The sequence below is a fragment of the Homo sapiens genome, chromosome 6 (genome assembly GCF_000001405.40).
Source record: "Homo sapiens chromosome 6, GRCh38.p14 Primary Assembly".
Lineage (NCBI taxonomy): Eukaryota > Metazoa > Chordata > Mammalia > Primates > Hominidae > Homo > Homo sapiens.
Genome location: NC_000006.12, coordinates 41,143,028 through 41,158,507, shown reverse-complemented (window position 1 = coordinate 41,158,507; position 15,480 = coordinate 41,143,028). Strand labels below are relative to the sequence as shown.

General features: G+C 43.3%; 1 protein-coding gene across 6 annotated transcripts; it reads left to right on the top strand.

Moving 5' to 3' along the window:
- TREML1 (triggering receptor expressed on myeloid cells like 1) lies at positions 3,105-9,248 on the top strand. Of its 6 annotated transcripts, XM_017010822.2 has the most exons (8): positions 3,105-3,208; positions 3,640-3,727; positions 4,163-4,262; positions 4,418-4,750; positions 7,124-7,226; positions 7,601-7,689; positions 8,195-8,247; positions 8,590-9,248. In XM_017010822.2, the coding sequence occupies exons 1-8, from the start codon at positions 3,177-3,179 to the stop codon at positions 8,902-8,904; spliced, it is 1,113 nt and encodes a 370-aa protein (XP_016866311.1). In that variant the 5' UTR covers positions 3,105-3,176; the 3' UTR covers positions 8,905-9,248. The 6 variants fall into 6 exon arrangements, with proteins under 6 accessions (XP_016866311.1, XP_016866314.1, XP_016866312.1 ...); XM_017010825.2 differs by lacking the exon at positions 8,195-8,247; XM_017010823.2 differs by lacking the exon at positions 3,640-3,727 and having other exon boundaries at positions 3,128-3,208.
- Positions 9,249-15,480: the final 6,232 nt, after the last annotated feature.

The window sequence follows — 15,480 nt, the reverse complement described above, 5'->3', positions numbered from 1 at the left end:
TAGTTTTGGGCATCATGAAAGTCTCATTTTCTTCCACAGGGGTAAGAAAATGAATTTGGATGAGAAAAAGACAAGAGATTTTGCTCCTTGAGGCCCAGGACCATAGGATACCACATCCCTCCATTCTCACAGGCTCAATCAGCCAGTCAGTTTTTTTCTTCTCTCTCTTCCCTTCCCTAGATCTGATCGCCAAGTTCTGCCTCCTCCTCTGGGGTTTCTCTAGCACCCAGTCTTCCTCTGCTCTCCTCCCCAGCATTCACCCTCTCCATCAGCTTCCCCTGGATTATGGAACCTCCCTGCCCCAAGGCCCCCTCCAGCTGACTCAGTTCTTCCCCACCAAGGTCAACTCCTGGCAGACTCATCCATTCATCTCCTTAGAACTCTGTTTTCATCATATCATTTCCCCTTCGGAGAAATGACAAGGGCTTGATAATGTACAGCATTATCAAACTGGGAACTGATGGTTCAAGCCCCTCATCATATAGAAGGGAAACTGAGGCTCAACAAGGGAAAGGAACTTACCCAAAATCCCCACCCAAAATCCCCAGTAGAGCCTGGAAATCCAAATTTCACTTGGCATTCAAGGTGCTCTTTCCTCTGACTCACTCCTACTTATTTGTTCAACAAGTATTAGTTTGAGCAACCAGTCTGTGGCGAGTACTATTCTGAACACTGGAAATACAACAGTGGACAAAAGAGGCAAGAGTTGTGCCCACACAGAGCTCACTTTAGTGGAAGGAGAGGAGACAGACAATGCACACAGTAAGTAAGTCAATCTGATTCCCTGTTAGAGGCACAACGTGCTGAGGAAAAAATTAAAATCAAGCAGGGTTAGGAGTATGGGTGTGCAGGAGGGACAGGGGATGATACCATCTTAAATGCAGAAGCCAGAAGGTGCCATTTGAGGAACACTTGAAGAAGGCCAGGAAGTGAGCCATGAGGACATCACGGGGAGGAGTATTCAGGGCCGAGCGAACAGCCAAGGCAGCACATGCAACCTCAACTCTCTCTTCAACACACACACCACCCTGGCCAAGACTCATGGGGAAACTGGGAGGAGACTCCCCTGAGGGTGAGCTGCAGGGGAAAGAAGAAGTGAGTCGGCCATATTCCTGGGCTCTCTGGACTGGGCCCCAGAGAAGTGGATGCCCAGGATCCCCTGTGGCCATAGCTCACATGGCTGCCTTGCCACCTAACCTGCGCTTGGGCACCTAAGGTTTAAATCACTAGGATGGAGCCCCTGGCATGGCCCTCATGTTCCAGCCTCACTTCAACATGTCACTCCCCTGGTCCCAGCTGTGCCCCAACCCTGCCTTGTCCACTCCCAATGTAAGCTGCTCCACTGGCTCCCTGTCCTGGAGCCTTGGGATTCTGGTCCAACCTGTGTTCCCATGGCCTCCCTGGCTCAGGGGCACATTAAACTTCCTCATTGTGTCCTGGGGCATTGCCCCCTTCCTATAGATCTAGGGCACAGGTAGCACCAAGAATGAGCCGAGCCCAAACTGCGCCTTCTCCACCTACCTCCTGCCCCAGTTGTGGGCACCAGTGCCGATGAAATGGCCTGGGAGGCTCCCCGCGGCCTGCCTCGTGCTCCAGGGCAGTGGCTGCCATCAGCCCCAGCCCAGAATCAGGCTTTCCTCCTCATGGGAGCTTGGCCTTTTCTCTTTCCTTCTCTGCCATGTCAGAGACATTCCTCTCTGGACTGGAATCACCACAGGCTCTCCTGCCTCAGACTCTCTGCGAGCACTCTGGACTGAAGGGAAGTGAGGCCATTTGGCCTCAAATTTCAACTCTGCCTCCTATTAAGACACCTTAGGCAAGCTCCTCAATCCCTCTAAAACCCAGTGCCCTCGCTTGTAGAAACAAATAAACAAAACAACCACTTCCCCTACTTTGCAAGGTTTTTGTGAGGTTGAAAGAAATAACATTCGTGGCCAGACATGGTGGCTCACGCCTGTAATCCCAGCACCTTGGGAGGCTGAGTGGGGTGGATTACTTGAGGCCAGGAATTCAAGACCAGCCTGGCCAACATGGCAAAACCCTGTCTCTACTAAAAAAAAAAGAAAGACAAAAATTAGTCAGGCATGTGGTGCATGCCTATAGTCCCAGCTACTTGGGAGGCTGAGGCAGAGAATTGCTTGAATCTAGGAGGCCAAGGTTGCAGTGAGCCAAGATTGCGCCACTGCACTCCCGCCTGGGTGACAGAGTGAGACTGTCTCAAAAGAAAAAAAAAAAAGAAAGAAATAACATTGTGAAGGTCCTTGGCCAGGTGACTGGCACATAGTAGGTCCTCAATAAACACTGGTTTCCTTCATCTAACGCCCAGCAACATGATGTCTCCATGAAGGCCAGGATCTTGCCTGGTCACCTCTGTCTCAGCACCCAGCAGTGGACCATATTCAACACTTAGTCCAGTGTTGAATACAGTTCACCTCTTCACACAACACGCCTGGGTGGCTTGTTAGTATGAAAATAACTTTCTTATAAGGAAATCAAAGAAAGCCTGATATGCATTGGCAAGACAGACATAAGCACATCACCAACTAGGGTGACCCGTCCTGGTTTGTTCAGGACTTTTTCAGTTTTTGCACAGAAAGTCCCAAGAAACCCCTCAATCCCAAGCAAAAACGGGAAGTTGGTCACCCAATCTCCCACTTCCACAAGGCCCAGCTTAACACATTAACTGATTTTCTCATGCTCCTGCTCCCAGTTTCCCATTCCTCACTCCCTTGTTCCCAAAGGAAGGAAGGAAAAAGAGGAAAAAAGGTGAGACGGGAGGAGATGGGAGTGAGGGAGAATGGCCTTTCCAGGCCCTTTTCTAGGTCTTACCCTCCAGATTAGGGCAATACGCCCCTCCCACCCATCCCCAGCTGCTGTAGTCTCTCTGACCACTGGTGCTTCCCCTGTGTCTGAGGTCAGATAGTTTATTAGGTTTATTACTCACACTTTGTCCCAGTTCCTCGAGCCCAATTCCACAGGGCAACATGAATGAGAGCCAGGTGCCTCCTGTGCAGGCAGTGAGTTTGGATCACAGGAGAGAAACCCCCAAATTAGGAGACTTGGAGTTTATATAGAGAATCTGGTATATCTTCCTCTCTGGAAGAGAGAGAGAGAGAGAGAGAGAGAGAGAGAAACGTTTACTCTGGAATGTAAATCTCCGGTGAAGAAGAGGAAGAATGCGAGCAAATCTCTGGACGTTGCACTCAAGGTATGTTTGCTATTCAATCACCCTTCAGCAAAACTTGGCCAATACCCTTTGCACAGAAGGACTAGAACATGCAGCAATGTGAAAATATTTGTGAAGAATTGTCTTCCAACAGAGAAGATAGAGCATTCATGAAACAAAAATAGTATGCCAGAATTTAAAAATGCTCAAAGAATAAGGAATATCTTGTCTTGTAAATTAAAAATATTAAAAAATAACATTTTAAAAGACAAAAATAGAAGGATGGAAGAAAATGAGGAAATCTCCTTGAAGGCAGAACAAAAGAGACAAAAAGATGGAAAATGAGATAGAAAAGATATGAAAATGAGATGAACACACGACATTCAATAACCAACTAGTTAAGGAATTGCAGAAAAATGGAAGGGGAGAAGAAAATGGACATGTAATTATCAAAGTAAGAATTTGTTTCCCAGAACTGAAGAATGTGGATCCAGATGGAAGGGTTCTATAGTGTCCAGGACAATAAATGAAGAAAGACCCAGTCCAGGGCACAGGATCAAGGTGAAACTTCCTGTTTGAGGTTGTACTGCATACAACCTCCTAAAAGCTTGGGTGGTCGTGGGGCACTCCCAAAGAATTGAGAGCAAGAATGGCATTGAGTGAGGTGCAGGGCACTCTACCTTCCTCCTTCATAGCTGTGCACCCTCAGATTCTGTATTAGGAAGATCCTGAAGATCATCTTTCCTCTTCCTCTCCTGTCCTCCAATTGTCACAATCCTCCCATCTCACCCCTTAGCCGGGCCCCAGCCCCTGCAGGCTTCTAGCTTTCTTCGGGTCTTCTCATCCTGTCTTGCCCACCCTTACCCTCAGGGCAGTTCCTGAGCACTGAGCCAACCAGGGCTTGGAAGAACTCCCTTTCCCCACCCCTGGAGGTGCCCATCATTTCCTTTCTCCCACCCCAAGTGACTTTCTGAGGCAGATGTTTCCTGCCCTCAGGCGAATGCTGCATCAGTGCCCAGGCAAGCCCAGGAGTTGACATTTCTCTGCCCAGCCATGGGCCTCACCCTGCTCTTGCTGCTGCTCCTGGGACTAGAAGGTAAGGTTCAGGAGGAGCTGCAGCTCTGGGCCCCATATGCTCAGCCCCATGTCCAGGAGTAACGTGTTATTGTGAATGCCACACCCATACCAGCAGCTGGGCTGGGAGATGCTCCCAGCTCCTGCCCAAAATTCCCACCTCCTTTCCTTCCCCAGGTCAGGGCATAGTTGGCAGCCTCCCTGAGGTGCTGCAGGCACCCGTGGGAAGCTCCATTCTGGTGCAGTGCCACTACAGGCTCCAGGATGTCAAAGCTCAGAAGGTGTGGTGCCGGTTCTTGCCGGAGGGGTGCCAGCCCCTGGTGTCCTCAGCTGTGGATCGCAGAGCTCCAGCGGGCAGGCGTACGTTTCTCACAGACCTGGGTGGGGGCCTGCTGCAGGTGGAAATGGTTACCCTGCAGGAAGAGGATGCTGGCGAGTATGGCTGCATGGTGGATGGGGCCAGGGGGCCCCAGATTTTGCACAGAGTCTCTCTGAACATACTGCCCCCAGGTGAGTTATCCTAGGCCAGCTACCACCCCTTAGACCTACCCTCCCCACCCCCGCCTATTGCCAGGGCTCATGGGTTCTTGAGGAGTGGGGGCCCCTGGGGAGGAGGCATTCCAAGGAGATATCCTCTTGACAGCTCTGCAGGGAGCGGAAACCAAACTGGGTGGGAAGTCTGAGATAAATCAGCTGAAAACCATCCCTTTCCCCCTTCCACACTACTGCGCTTCCCCACAGGAAGGCATGTCCTTCCCACTCCAGGGACTTGGCCTCTTCTTCCAGCATTTTCAACATACTTGATGCTAACTTATTTTTTAATTAGAAATATTTTAAACAATGTTGAATCTGAGTGTATAAAACCAGAATTAATTTTTGTAGCTTCCAGTGTTTTATTCCTGTAATAGCGGGCTTGATGGCTTAAGAATTATGGAATTCATACCTTAATTAATTTTATAAGTCTTCACAGGCCATCTAGTATGTCTCACCTACAAGTAGGTACATTCAGTGCCTGAACAACTTCAACTCCTTTCGTTTTAAAAATGGAAAAATGTCATTAATATTTTAAGCCAATATTCTTGACCCTATTTTCAGTATTAAAGACACTGTTTTTGCAGGTTTCATTCCCACAGCCCATAACTTTTCTAGTATATAAGCATTTGTTAAAAGAAAATTTTAAAATATTAAAAACTTGGGTTTTTTTTTTTAAGAAAGATAGGATGTTCTAAAAATAAAAAATGGTCAGCTACCTGAAGCACAGACAGCCACTCCTTTTCTTTTATGGATACTGGCCATTTTTTCACCTTTAGGTCTTCCTTTTCTCATATTTTATGCCCAACCCCCAAATAATAAAATTAAGTAGAGCATTTTCCCTTCCCTTGTTTTTTGTTTTGTTTGAGACAGGGTCTCACTCTGTTGCTCAAGCTGGAGTGCAGTGGCACTATCGGCTCACTGCAACCTTGGCCTCTCGGGTTCAAGTGATTCTTGTGTCTCAGCCTCCCAAGTAACTGGGACTACAGGTGCCCACCACCATGCCCAGCTAATTTTTGTATTTTTAGTAGAGACGGGGTTTTATCATGTTGGCCAGGCTGGTCTTGAACTCCTGACCTCAAGTGATCTGCCCGCCTTGGCCTCCCAAAGTGCTGGGATTGCAGGTATAAGCCACCACCCCTGGCCCCTTCCCTTGTTTTTTTTCCCTCTAAATAAGAGGGTAGACTATGTTGTCATTAGAATCCTTCTCATCTCAAGCCTGTGGTTATTGTTTTATATTATAAATATATTGTTAATCCTTGTCATCCTTTGCCCTCCTCATTCCTTGACACTTTGAGTTACTAAATTCAGGTTCTAACTCACTAAAAGGCAAATTGTGACAAGATGAGACTCCCTGGGAGGAGCGTCAGGGAGGCAGGGACCTGGGCCCCTGACCTGCTGCCATGGGGCAGGTGCTGTGGAGGATGATGTTCAGGCAGGCAGGTGGCGCGTAGCATCCAGAGATGATGTGGCTTGCGGCTCAGGTGAGCATTTAGCTTCAGAGAAGGTGGTCAAAGGCAGCCTAATAGGCACCAGGAGGGCAGGACATGTGCCACAGCAACCCCAGTTCCTGGTGTGGCATAGGATGGGGAGTAGGAATGGTGAATCTCTCAAGAACAAGGCAAGGCCCCATTCCAGTCGGTCTGAAAGGACTGGCCAGGTTCCTAAGACAAGTCTCCAGGCCCAGAGAAACCAACCCCAAGTCCTGCAGCCAGAAGTCAAGCACATCATATGGGTGACAGAAGCCTTGTCCTCAAACTGAGTCTCAGGATCCCAGCAAGGCTCTCAGCAAGGGTCAGTTGGTTTGTGTTGCATCACATGAGGGCCCACCCAGATTTTCTTCAGTCCTGAGGGCAGAGCTTGGGCTAGGGTTGCAGGGTCACAGGTATGTGAGGAAGCCCCATTTAAGACCCATGAGATCCAGGAGCTATGTCACCATTGAGGATGAGAACTGCAGAAACCTATTCGGGTGGGAAGGAGAGGTGGGTACAGATCATCCAGTAGGTGTTTTTACACAGACTTAACAGCTTGATAAGGCCAGAGGGGTGAGGGGTAGAGCAGGTAAAAGGGAAGAAATGCAGCAGGAAGATGGGGGGAGCTGGTGGTAGAGGGAAAAGTGGGTGTAGTCACAACCAGGTAAAGACATAAAGAGCCAGTGCCATTTCCTGATCTGTGGAGTGACAGGCCCCTAAAGAACATCCCAGCCTCCCCTTTCTGTGTTTCTTCCTGGGGTCCTCTCCTTCCTTGGCTCCACTCCTCCAGTCCCTCAGACCTCAACAGGATATTGAAGCCTGCCCATATGGGCATGCACTCATTAAATGTTTCCTTCTGACTCCATTCCTGGCCTGACAGAGGAAGAAGAAGAGACCCATAAGATTGGCAGTCTGGCTGAGAACGCATTCTCAGACCCTGCAGGCAGTGCCAACCCTTTGGAACCCAGCCAGGATGAGAAGAGGTACTGACAGGATTGGATTTGGGAGGCCAGGAGAAGGGTGGTGGTGGAGACAATGACTTGTTTAGAGCTCCAAACTAAATCGAAGGGGAAAACCTATGATTCTTCCCACCTCTGGGGAACTTCTGGACAGACAGACAGACAGATACATACTTCTCTGTCCTGGGTCAGCAATGGTGCCTTCATGCTGGTGATTCTTCAGCCAGGATACCTTAATGAGTCCCTCTTCTGCCCTACCTCAGTCAGCTCCCCTCATTCTATTTCATCTCCCTCTCCCAATCAAGAATGTAACCCTTCTGTCACTGCTCCAGGGCTCCTGGCCAGCAGCTCCCCACAGGCTTCAGGTCTAAGCCTGCCTATCCCTTTCTGTTCCTCAGCATCCCCTTGATCTGGGGTGCTGTGCTCCTGGTAGGTCTGCTGGTGGCAGCGGTGGTGCTGTTTGCTGTGATGGCCAAGAGGAAACAAGGTAGGTGGCTATCTTCCTATCTCAGCCTGGCCCTACCATTCCAGTATCAACCAGTTGTGCAGATGAGGCCAGGAGTCTAGGTCCAATCCCCCTACAAATGGATTTGCCTGGGCTTAAGTCTCAAGGCCCCCATATCCTAGAATTCCCAGGGCTGAGGGATGGAGGGGAGGGAAGGAGATTCAATGGGAGCAGTCTGCAGAAAGACAGGAATTAGAAAGGGTAGGGCAATGCAATGGGAGGAAAGGCATTGGAGAAGGTGGGGAAAGGGTCTCGGGAGGTAGGCTGAGCGCTGAGGTGGGTTGAAGGGAGCTCTGGAAGCAGTAAGTGGGTGGGGAGATTTACGGCAGGCTGGGGAGATGGAAGGGGTAAAGGTTTGGTGGTGGGAGTGGGGAAGGTGAGTCTGCAGTAGTGAAGAGGTTTCAGAGGCTTCTGAAGGAAGGGAGTGAGGGAAGGGCTCTGAGCCAGCCCCGGAAGCAGACTATGCTGCTGTTGTCTGTCCTGCCAGGGAACAGGCTTGGTGTCTGTGGCCGATTCCTGAGCAGCAGAGTTTCAGGCATGGTAAGAGGCCTCTGCAGGCCCACAGCCAAATTCCCCAGACTTTCCATTCATCTCACTCACTGAGAGGTCCTAGGATGATGGGGTGGAGAAAGGACTGGGACCTAGTTGGGGTCCAAACCCTCTTCCTAAATGCTGTAAACTTGACACTAATGGTCTCCCTTGGCATCCCACCCTCCCAGATTTGGGGAGAAACTTGGGGCTTGAAAATCTTCACAATGAAGCCCTCTTGCCCACTGATATACTCAGGATTCAAGAGATAGATCTAGTGTGGTCCTGGGCTTCCCACCAAAGGGAGTTCTGGGGCAGAGGGAGGCATTCCTGACTTGCCTGCTTTTGTTACAGAATCCCTCCTCAGTGGTCCACCACGTCAGTGACTCTGGACCGGCTGCTGAATTGCCTTTGGATGTACCACACATTAGGCTTGACTCACCACCTTCATTTGACAATACCACCTACACCAGCCTACCTCTTGATTCCCCATCAGGAAAACCTTCACTCCCAGCTCCATCCTCATTGCCCCCTCTACCTCCTAAGGTCCTGGTCTGCTCCAAGCCTGTGACATATGCCACAGTAATCTTCCCGGGAGGGAACAAGGGTGGAGGGACCTCGTGTGGGCCAGCCCAGAATCCACCTAACAATCAGACTCCATCCAGCTAAGCTGCTCATCACACTTTAAACTCATGAGGACCATCCCTAGGGGTTCTGTGCATCCATCCAGCCAGCTCATGCCCTAGGATCCTTAGGATATCTGAGCAACCAGGGACTTTAAGATCTAATCCAATGTCCTAACTTTACTAGGGAAAGTGACGCTCAGACATGACTGAGATGTCTTGGGGAAGACCTCCCTGCACCCAACTCCCCCACTGGTTCTTCTACCATTACACACTGGGCTAAATAAACCCTAATAATGATGTGCAAACTCTTAATGGCTGAATGGGAAAGGAAACTGCCCAAGTTTGACTAATTGCTTGGCCTGTGAATGGAAAAGACTCTGGTCTAAATTTTGTGCTGTATGATCTCCTGTCTCTCGTCAGTGGGGAAATGGCTTCCTTCCCTGGTCAGAACACTACAATGCAGTTTGATTCAAGGGACGCTGAAAAGTCTTCTTCAGAAGTATTTTTTGCTTATCTCATGATGCCTCCAAGTATAGATTCATTTGCTTGAGTCAAGGAAGCTCTTCTCCTTTCTGCTCTGCACCTTGTGAATATGTGACATGATGCGAAAGCATATGATAGGGCGGGGGTGGTGTTAGATTAATGATAAGTTAAAAGAGACCCAGGACAAATGGTGTGTTAGAAATGGCACTGGAAAGAAATAGGAATAAGGACAGAAATGGAAATAGACACCAAGTCTGTTCCCTGGCAGGACAAAGGATTTTCAAGCACCAGAAGACCTTTACAGACATCAGTCTTATCAGAGCTGGCTGTCTCTTAACTAGGTGGTCATCTGGTAGCACTGTTTCCTTTGGTCTAAACTCTGGAGCCCGGGAAGGGCCCCATGGAGAAATGAACTGAGGGGAGGGAAAAGGGAATGGTAAGGGAATGGCCATGGTCAAGTATAAATGAAAGCTAGTCCAGGCTAGGGCTGAAAGAGCCTTTAAGGACTTGCCAGAATTTCTTCTGAAACTGTTCAATTTGAAAATATAGTCATTCCTCCATACCCATGGGTTCTGTATCCACAGATTTAAGCAAGCGTGGATCAAAAATATTAGAAAAAAAGAAACATTAGATATTTCTTTAAATATTAGAAAAAAATGGTTATGTCTGTACTTAACATGTACAGAGTTTTTCCTTGTCATTATTCCCTATACAATACAGTATAACAACTATATAACATTTATATTGTATTAGGTATTTTAAGTAATCTAGAGATGATTTAAAGTGTATGAGGAGATGTGTGGTTATATGCAAATACTACACCATTTTATAAAAGGGACTTGAGCATCCATGGATTTTGTTATCTACAGGGGGTTCTAGAACTAATACTCCACAGATACTGAGGGATGTATGTATTTGCCCATATTGGGATGAAATGCTCAGTAACCCAGTCTTGTTACAATCACAAATAGCTAGGCATAAAGAGGTTTTCACCATCTGGAGGGGCCCTAAGCTTAGCCTAAGCACCTCAGGAAGAAGGACAAGCGGTGTGCCCTGGGCTCCAATTTGCCCACCAATCAACTAATGACTAGGGACTGCCTGCTGGGGAGTGGAGAGGTGGCAGAAAAAAGGGCAGAATAAAGACTAAAAAGAACCCTCTGGAAAAACTCACCATGGTCTAAATATATTTAGAGCTTTTTAGAACATGACAGAAGTAAAAAGTGTATTTTTACTTTTGAGTACAAAGGAAAATACTAAGAAAGATAACAATCAATTGAGTGGTGAGGAAGAGGAAATACAAAAATCCCATCATTGATCATGATAGGAAGTCTACGAATACCAACCAAAGTCATAGTTGTAAAAGTAACTTCTAAGATGAAAATACTGCCATTCAAAATTTTAGAGTAAGAAACACATGCAATATAAAGCAAAGCAAATGCAGGCAACATGGTGAGATGACCTCCTTATATCAGAACCTTTGGAATTCAGTTAAAGAAGTGCTCAGAGGAAAATTCACACTCTTAACACTTAAGCATCTTACTCAGTTAATTTTAAAAGAGAAAGACAATATAATACATAAAAGAACGGATTCTTTAAAATAAAATGAAATTAAAGAGACACTGTTAGGCAACTTAAGAAGAGTGAAATAAAAAATGACAAAGGAGAAATAACACAAAGACAATGAAAAAAATAATGAGAGTATTTTGTGCCAAAGCTGGGAGTACTGATGGAATGGGAATGATGACAAAGGGACCTGAAATAACTTTTTTGGTTGAAATGTTCTCTATCATGATTGTGCTAGTGATTACATAGGTATCTATATTTGTCAAAAACCTATCACTAAAACGGGTGCATTTCCCTATATGTAAATACTATTTTGATAAAGTTGGCCTAAAAAATAGTTGAAAGACTGTTGAGGAATAGTTAAAATAATTTTAGAGAGAAAAGAGCCCTTTAAAGAATGAACCAAACTCAGAAGCCATAAAAGAACTCACACATTAAAACTGATACATGGCAGAGTAAGAACCTCTGAAAATTCTCTCCTCCAAAAAGCAACAAGGCCGGGCATGGTGGCTCACACCTGTAATCCCAGCACTTTGGGAGGCTGGGGCAGGTGGATCACCTGAGGTCAGGAGTTCGAGACCAGCCTGGCCAATATGGTGAAATCCCATCTCTACTAAAAATACAAAAATTAGCCAGGTGTGGTGGTACATGCCTGTAATCCCAGCTATTCAGGAGGCTGAGGCAGGAGAATTGCTTGAACCCGGGCAGTGGAGGTTGCAGTGAGCCGAGATTGTGCCACTGCACTCCAGCCTGGGTGACAGAGCAAGACTCTCTCTCAAAAAGAAAAGAAAAAAGAAAAAAGCAACAAGAAACAAGAAAACTGGCAAATATATTCAGAATCAACTTTTTCAGAACTCTGGAAATTAACCAAAGACTTGCATCAATAGAGGGAATGTTTACTTAAGAAAAATGTCTTTCTCCCCATCTATCCGATTTAAAAGAGAACTTCATAGAGTAACAATTATAAATCTAAAGTTAAAATTATCTGTTTAACACAACAGAAGGTAGTTGATGAAGAGAGGAAAAAAGACATAAGACAAATAGAAAACAAATAAAATGGCAGGCATACATCTAACTTTATAGTAATTACATTAAGTGTAAATGGATGAAACAGAATTAAAAGGCAGAAATTGGCAGAATGGATTAAAAACACATGATCCAACTATATGCTGCCTATAGGAGAAAAACTTCAGATTAAAAAACACAAGTTGGTTGAAAGTGAAAGAATGTAAAAACATATACCATGAAAACTAGCTAAAGAGAGCTGGAATGACTATACAAATATCAGGCAAAATAGAGTTAAGACTAAAATTGTCACTAGAGACAAAAAGGATATCTTATAATGATAAGAAGGTCAATCCATCAAGAAGATACTACAATTATAAATATATATGCACCTAACTATAGGGTTTCAAAAAATGTGAGGCAAAAACTGACAGAATTAAATGAAGAAATAGAAAATTAAACCATAATAGTTGGAGACTTCAAAATCTCACTTTCAAAAATGGATAGAACAAGTAGACAGAAAATCAGCAAGGAAACAGTAGACATAAACAACTCAATAAATCAACTAGACCTAACAGACATTTATAAAACACTCCACCCAACAGCAGTAGAATACATATTCCTCTCATGTGTACATGCAGAATTCTCTAGGATACACTATATATTAGACCATAAACAAGTATCCATAAATTTAAAAGGATTGAAATTAGACAAAAATATGTTCTTTTACCATAATGGAATAAAATTAGAAATTAGTAACAGGGGTAAATTTTGGAAATGCATAAATATGTAGAAATTAAACAACATACTTCTAAATGACAGCTGTGTTAACGAAGAAATTACAAGGGAAATTAGAAACACTTTGAGATAAATAAAAATATAAACACAATATACCAAAATTTATGGGATGCAGCAAAATCAGTGCTTAGAATGAAACTTATAGCTTTAATCACTTACATTAAAGAAGATCTCAAAGCAGCAACCTAATCTTTTACCTGAAGCAACTAGACAGAAGAGCAAGCTAAAATCAAAGCAAGCAGAAGGAAGAAAGTAATAAAAATTAGAACAGAAATGAATGAAATGAAATAGAGAACAGAAAAATAATAGAGAAAAATCAACAACACCAAGAGTTGGTTCTTTGAAAAGATCAACAAAATCGATAAACCTTTTTTTAGCTAGACTAGCCAAGAAAAAAAAAAAAAGACTCAAATCAGTAAAATAAAGAATGAAATTGGAGGGAGAACTACTGGCATTAAGAAATCAAAAAGGATTATAAAGGAATACTATGAGCAATTGTATATCAACAAATTAAGATAACCTAGGTGAAATGAACAAATTCCTAGAAAGACACAAATTACTGAAATGGACTCAAGAAGAAATAAAAAATTGATCTATAGCAAGTAAAGAGGTTAAATTAGTAATTAAAAAAACTCACAACGAGAAGCCCAGGCCCAGATGGCTTCACTGGTGAATGCTACCAAATATTGAAAGAATTTTAAAACCTACCCTTTACAAATTCTTCTAAAAAACAAATGAGAAGGGAATTCTTCCTAACTCATTCTATGAGGCTAGTGTTACCTTAATCCAAAAAACAGACAAAGAAATCACAAGAAAACAAAAACAAAAACAAAAACACTACAGACCAACATCCTTTATCAATGGAGATGTAAAAATCTTCAACAAAATACTATCAAATATAATATAGTAACAAATAAAAAGTATTATACACCATGACAAAGTGGGATTTATCCCAGGAATGCAAAGTTGATTTCACATATAAAAATCAGTCAATATGATATTATACCATATTAATAGAACAAAGGACAAAAACCACATGGTCACCTCAACAGATGCCAAAAAAGCATTTGACAAAATCTGACACCATATCATGTCAAAAATACTCAACAAACTAGGAATAGAAGGGAATTTCCTCAAGATGATAAAGGCCATCTATCAAAAGCATACAGCACACTTAAAAGGTGAAAGACTGAAATCTTTCCCCCCAAGATTGGGAACAAGACAGGAATATTCACTCTTCACCACGTTTATTCAACATTGTACTAAAGGTTCTAAGAAAGAGAAATTAGGGAGGAAAAAGAAATAGAGGGATTCCAGATTAGAAAGAAAGAAAACCATCTATTTTTAGATGACATGATCTTGTATATATAAAATCCTAAGGAATCTAAAAAAAAACTTAGATCTAGTAAGTTCAGCAAAGTTTCAGGATGCAAAATCAATACACATTCTCTAACTTGTCTGAGAAAAAAAGAAAAATATATATACGCAAAAATCAGTTGTATTTCTATATATACTTGCAATGAATAATTCAAAAATGAAATTTAGAAAACAATTCCACTTATAATAGTACCAAGAAGAATATGATATTTAGGCATAAATATAACAAAAGAAGACTAATATTTATACATTAAAATGACAAAACATTATTGAAAGACATTAAAGAAGACCTAAATATATGGAAAAGATACCCCAGTTTCATGGATCAGAGGACTTAGTATTGTTAAGATGGCAACTCTTCCCAAATTATTCTATAGATTTGATGCAATCCCTATCAAAATTACAGTTGTCCTTTTGGCAGAAATTGATGAGCCAATCCTAAAATTCATATGTAAATGCAAGGGACCCAGAATAGCCAAAACAATTTTGCAGAAGAAGAGTAAAGTTGAAGGATTCACACTTCCTGATTGTAAAACTTACTATAAAGCTACAATAATCAAGACTGTATGGTACTGGCATAAGGATAGACATATAGACCAATAGAATAAATGGAGAGGCCAGAAATAAACCCATTCACTTAAGATCAACTGATTTTCAACAAGGGTGTCAAGACAATTAAATGAGTGAAAGAATATTTTTTTAAAAAACAAATGGTGCTAGGACAACTGGATAGCCACATGCAAAAGCATGATTTTGTAACATGACCTCACATGATATACAAAAATTATCTCAAAATAAATCAAAGACCTACATATAAAAGCTAAAACAAAAAAGTCAAAGAAGAAAACATGAGTAAATCTTTGTGACCTCAGATTAGTTGATAGTTTCTTAGATATGACACTTAAAGCACAAGGATCCAAACTAAAAAATAGATACACTGACTTCATCAAAACTAAAAACTTTCATTTTGCAAAATGATTCTGTCATGAAAGTGGAAAGACAACTCACAGAATTGGAGAAAATATTTGCAAATCAAATCCAATAAGGGTCCAGTATGCAGAATATATTTTTAAAACTCATAAAACGCAGCAATAAAAGGCAAAAACTCCAATTAAAAAATGGGCATATAATTTGAATAGACATTCTCCAAGAAGATATACTAGTGTCCAGTAAGCTCACGAAAAGATGCTCAACATCATTAGTTACTAAGGAAATATAAATCAAAATCATAAGATACCACTTCATACCCACTAGGATAGCTATAATAAAAAAGACAAACAAAAACAAGTGTTGGCTAGGCTGTGGAAAACTGGAAGCCTCAATCATTGCTGGTGAAAACGTAAAATGGTACAGAGGCTTTGGAGAACAGTTTGACAGTTCCTCAAAAAGTTAA

Bases quoted from the DNA above. Each gene is read 5' to 3' on its own strand.
- TREML1 (XM_017010822.2), top strand. From the start codon at position 3,177: ATGCGAGCAAATCTCTGGACGTTGCACTCAAG. The intron at 3,728-4,162 runs GTGAAACTTCCT...TCCTGCCCTCAG, and splicing joins GTCCAGGGCACAGGATCAAG to GCGAATGCTGCATCAGTGCC. The intron at 7,690-8,194 runs GTAGGTGGCTAT...CTGTCCTGCCAG, and splicing joins GATGGCCAAGAGGAAACAAG to GGAACAGGCTTGGTGTCTGT.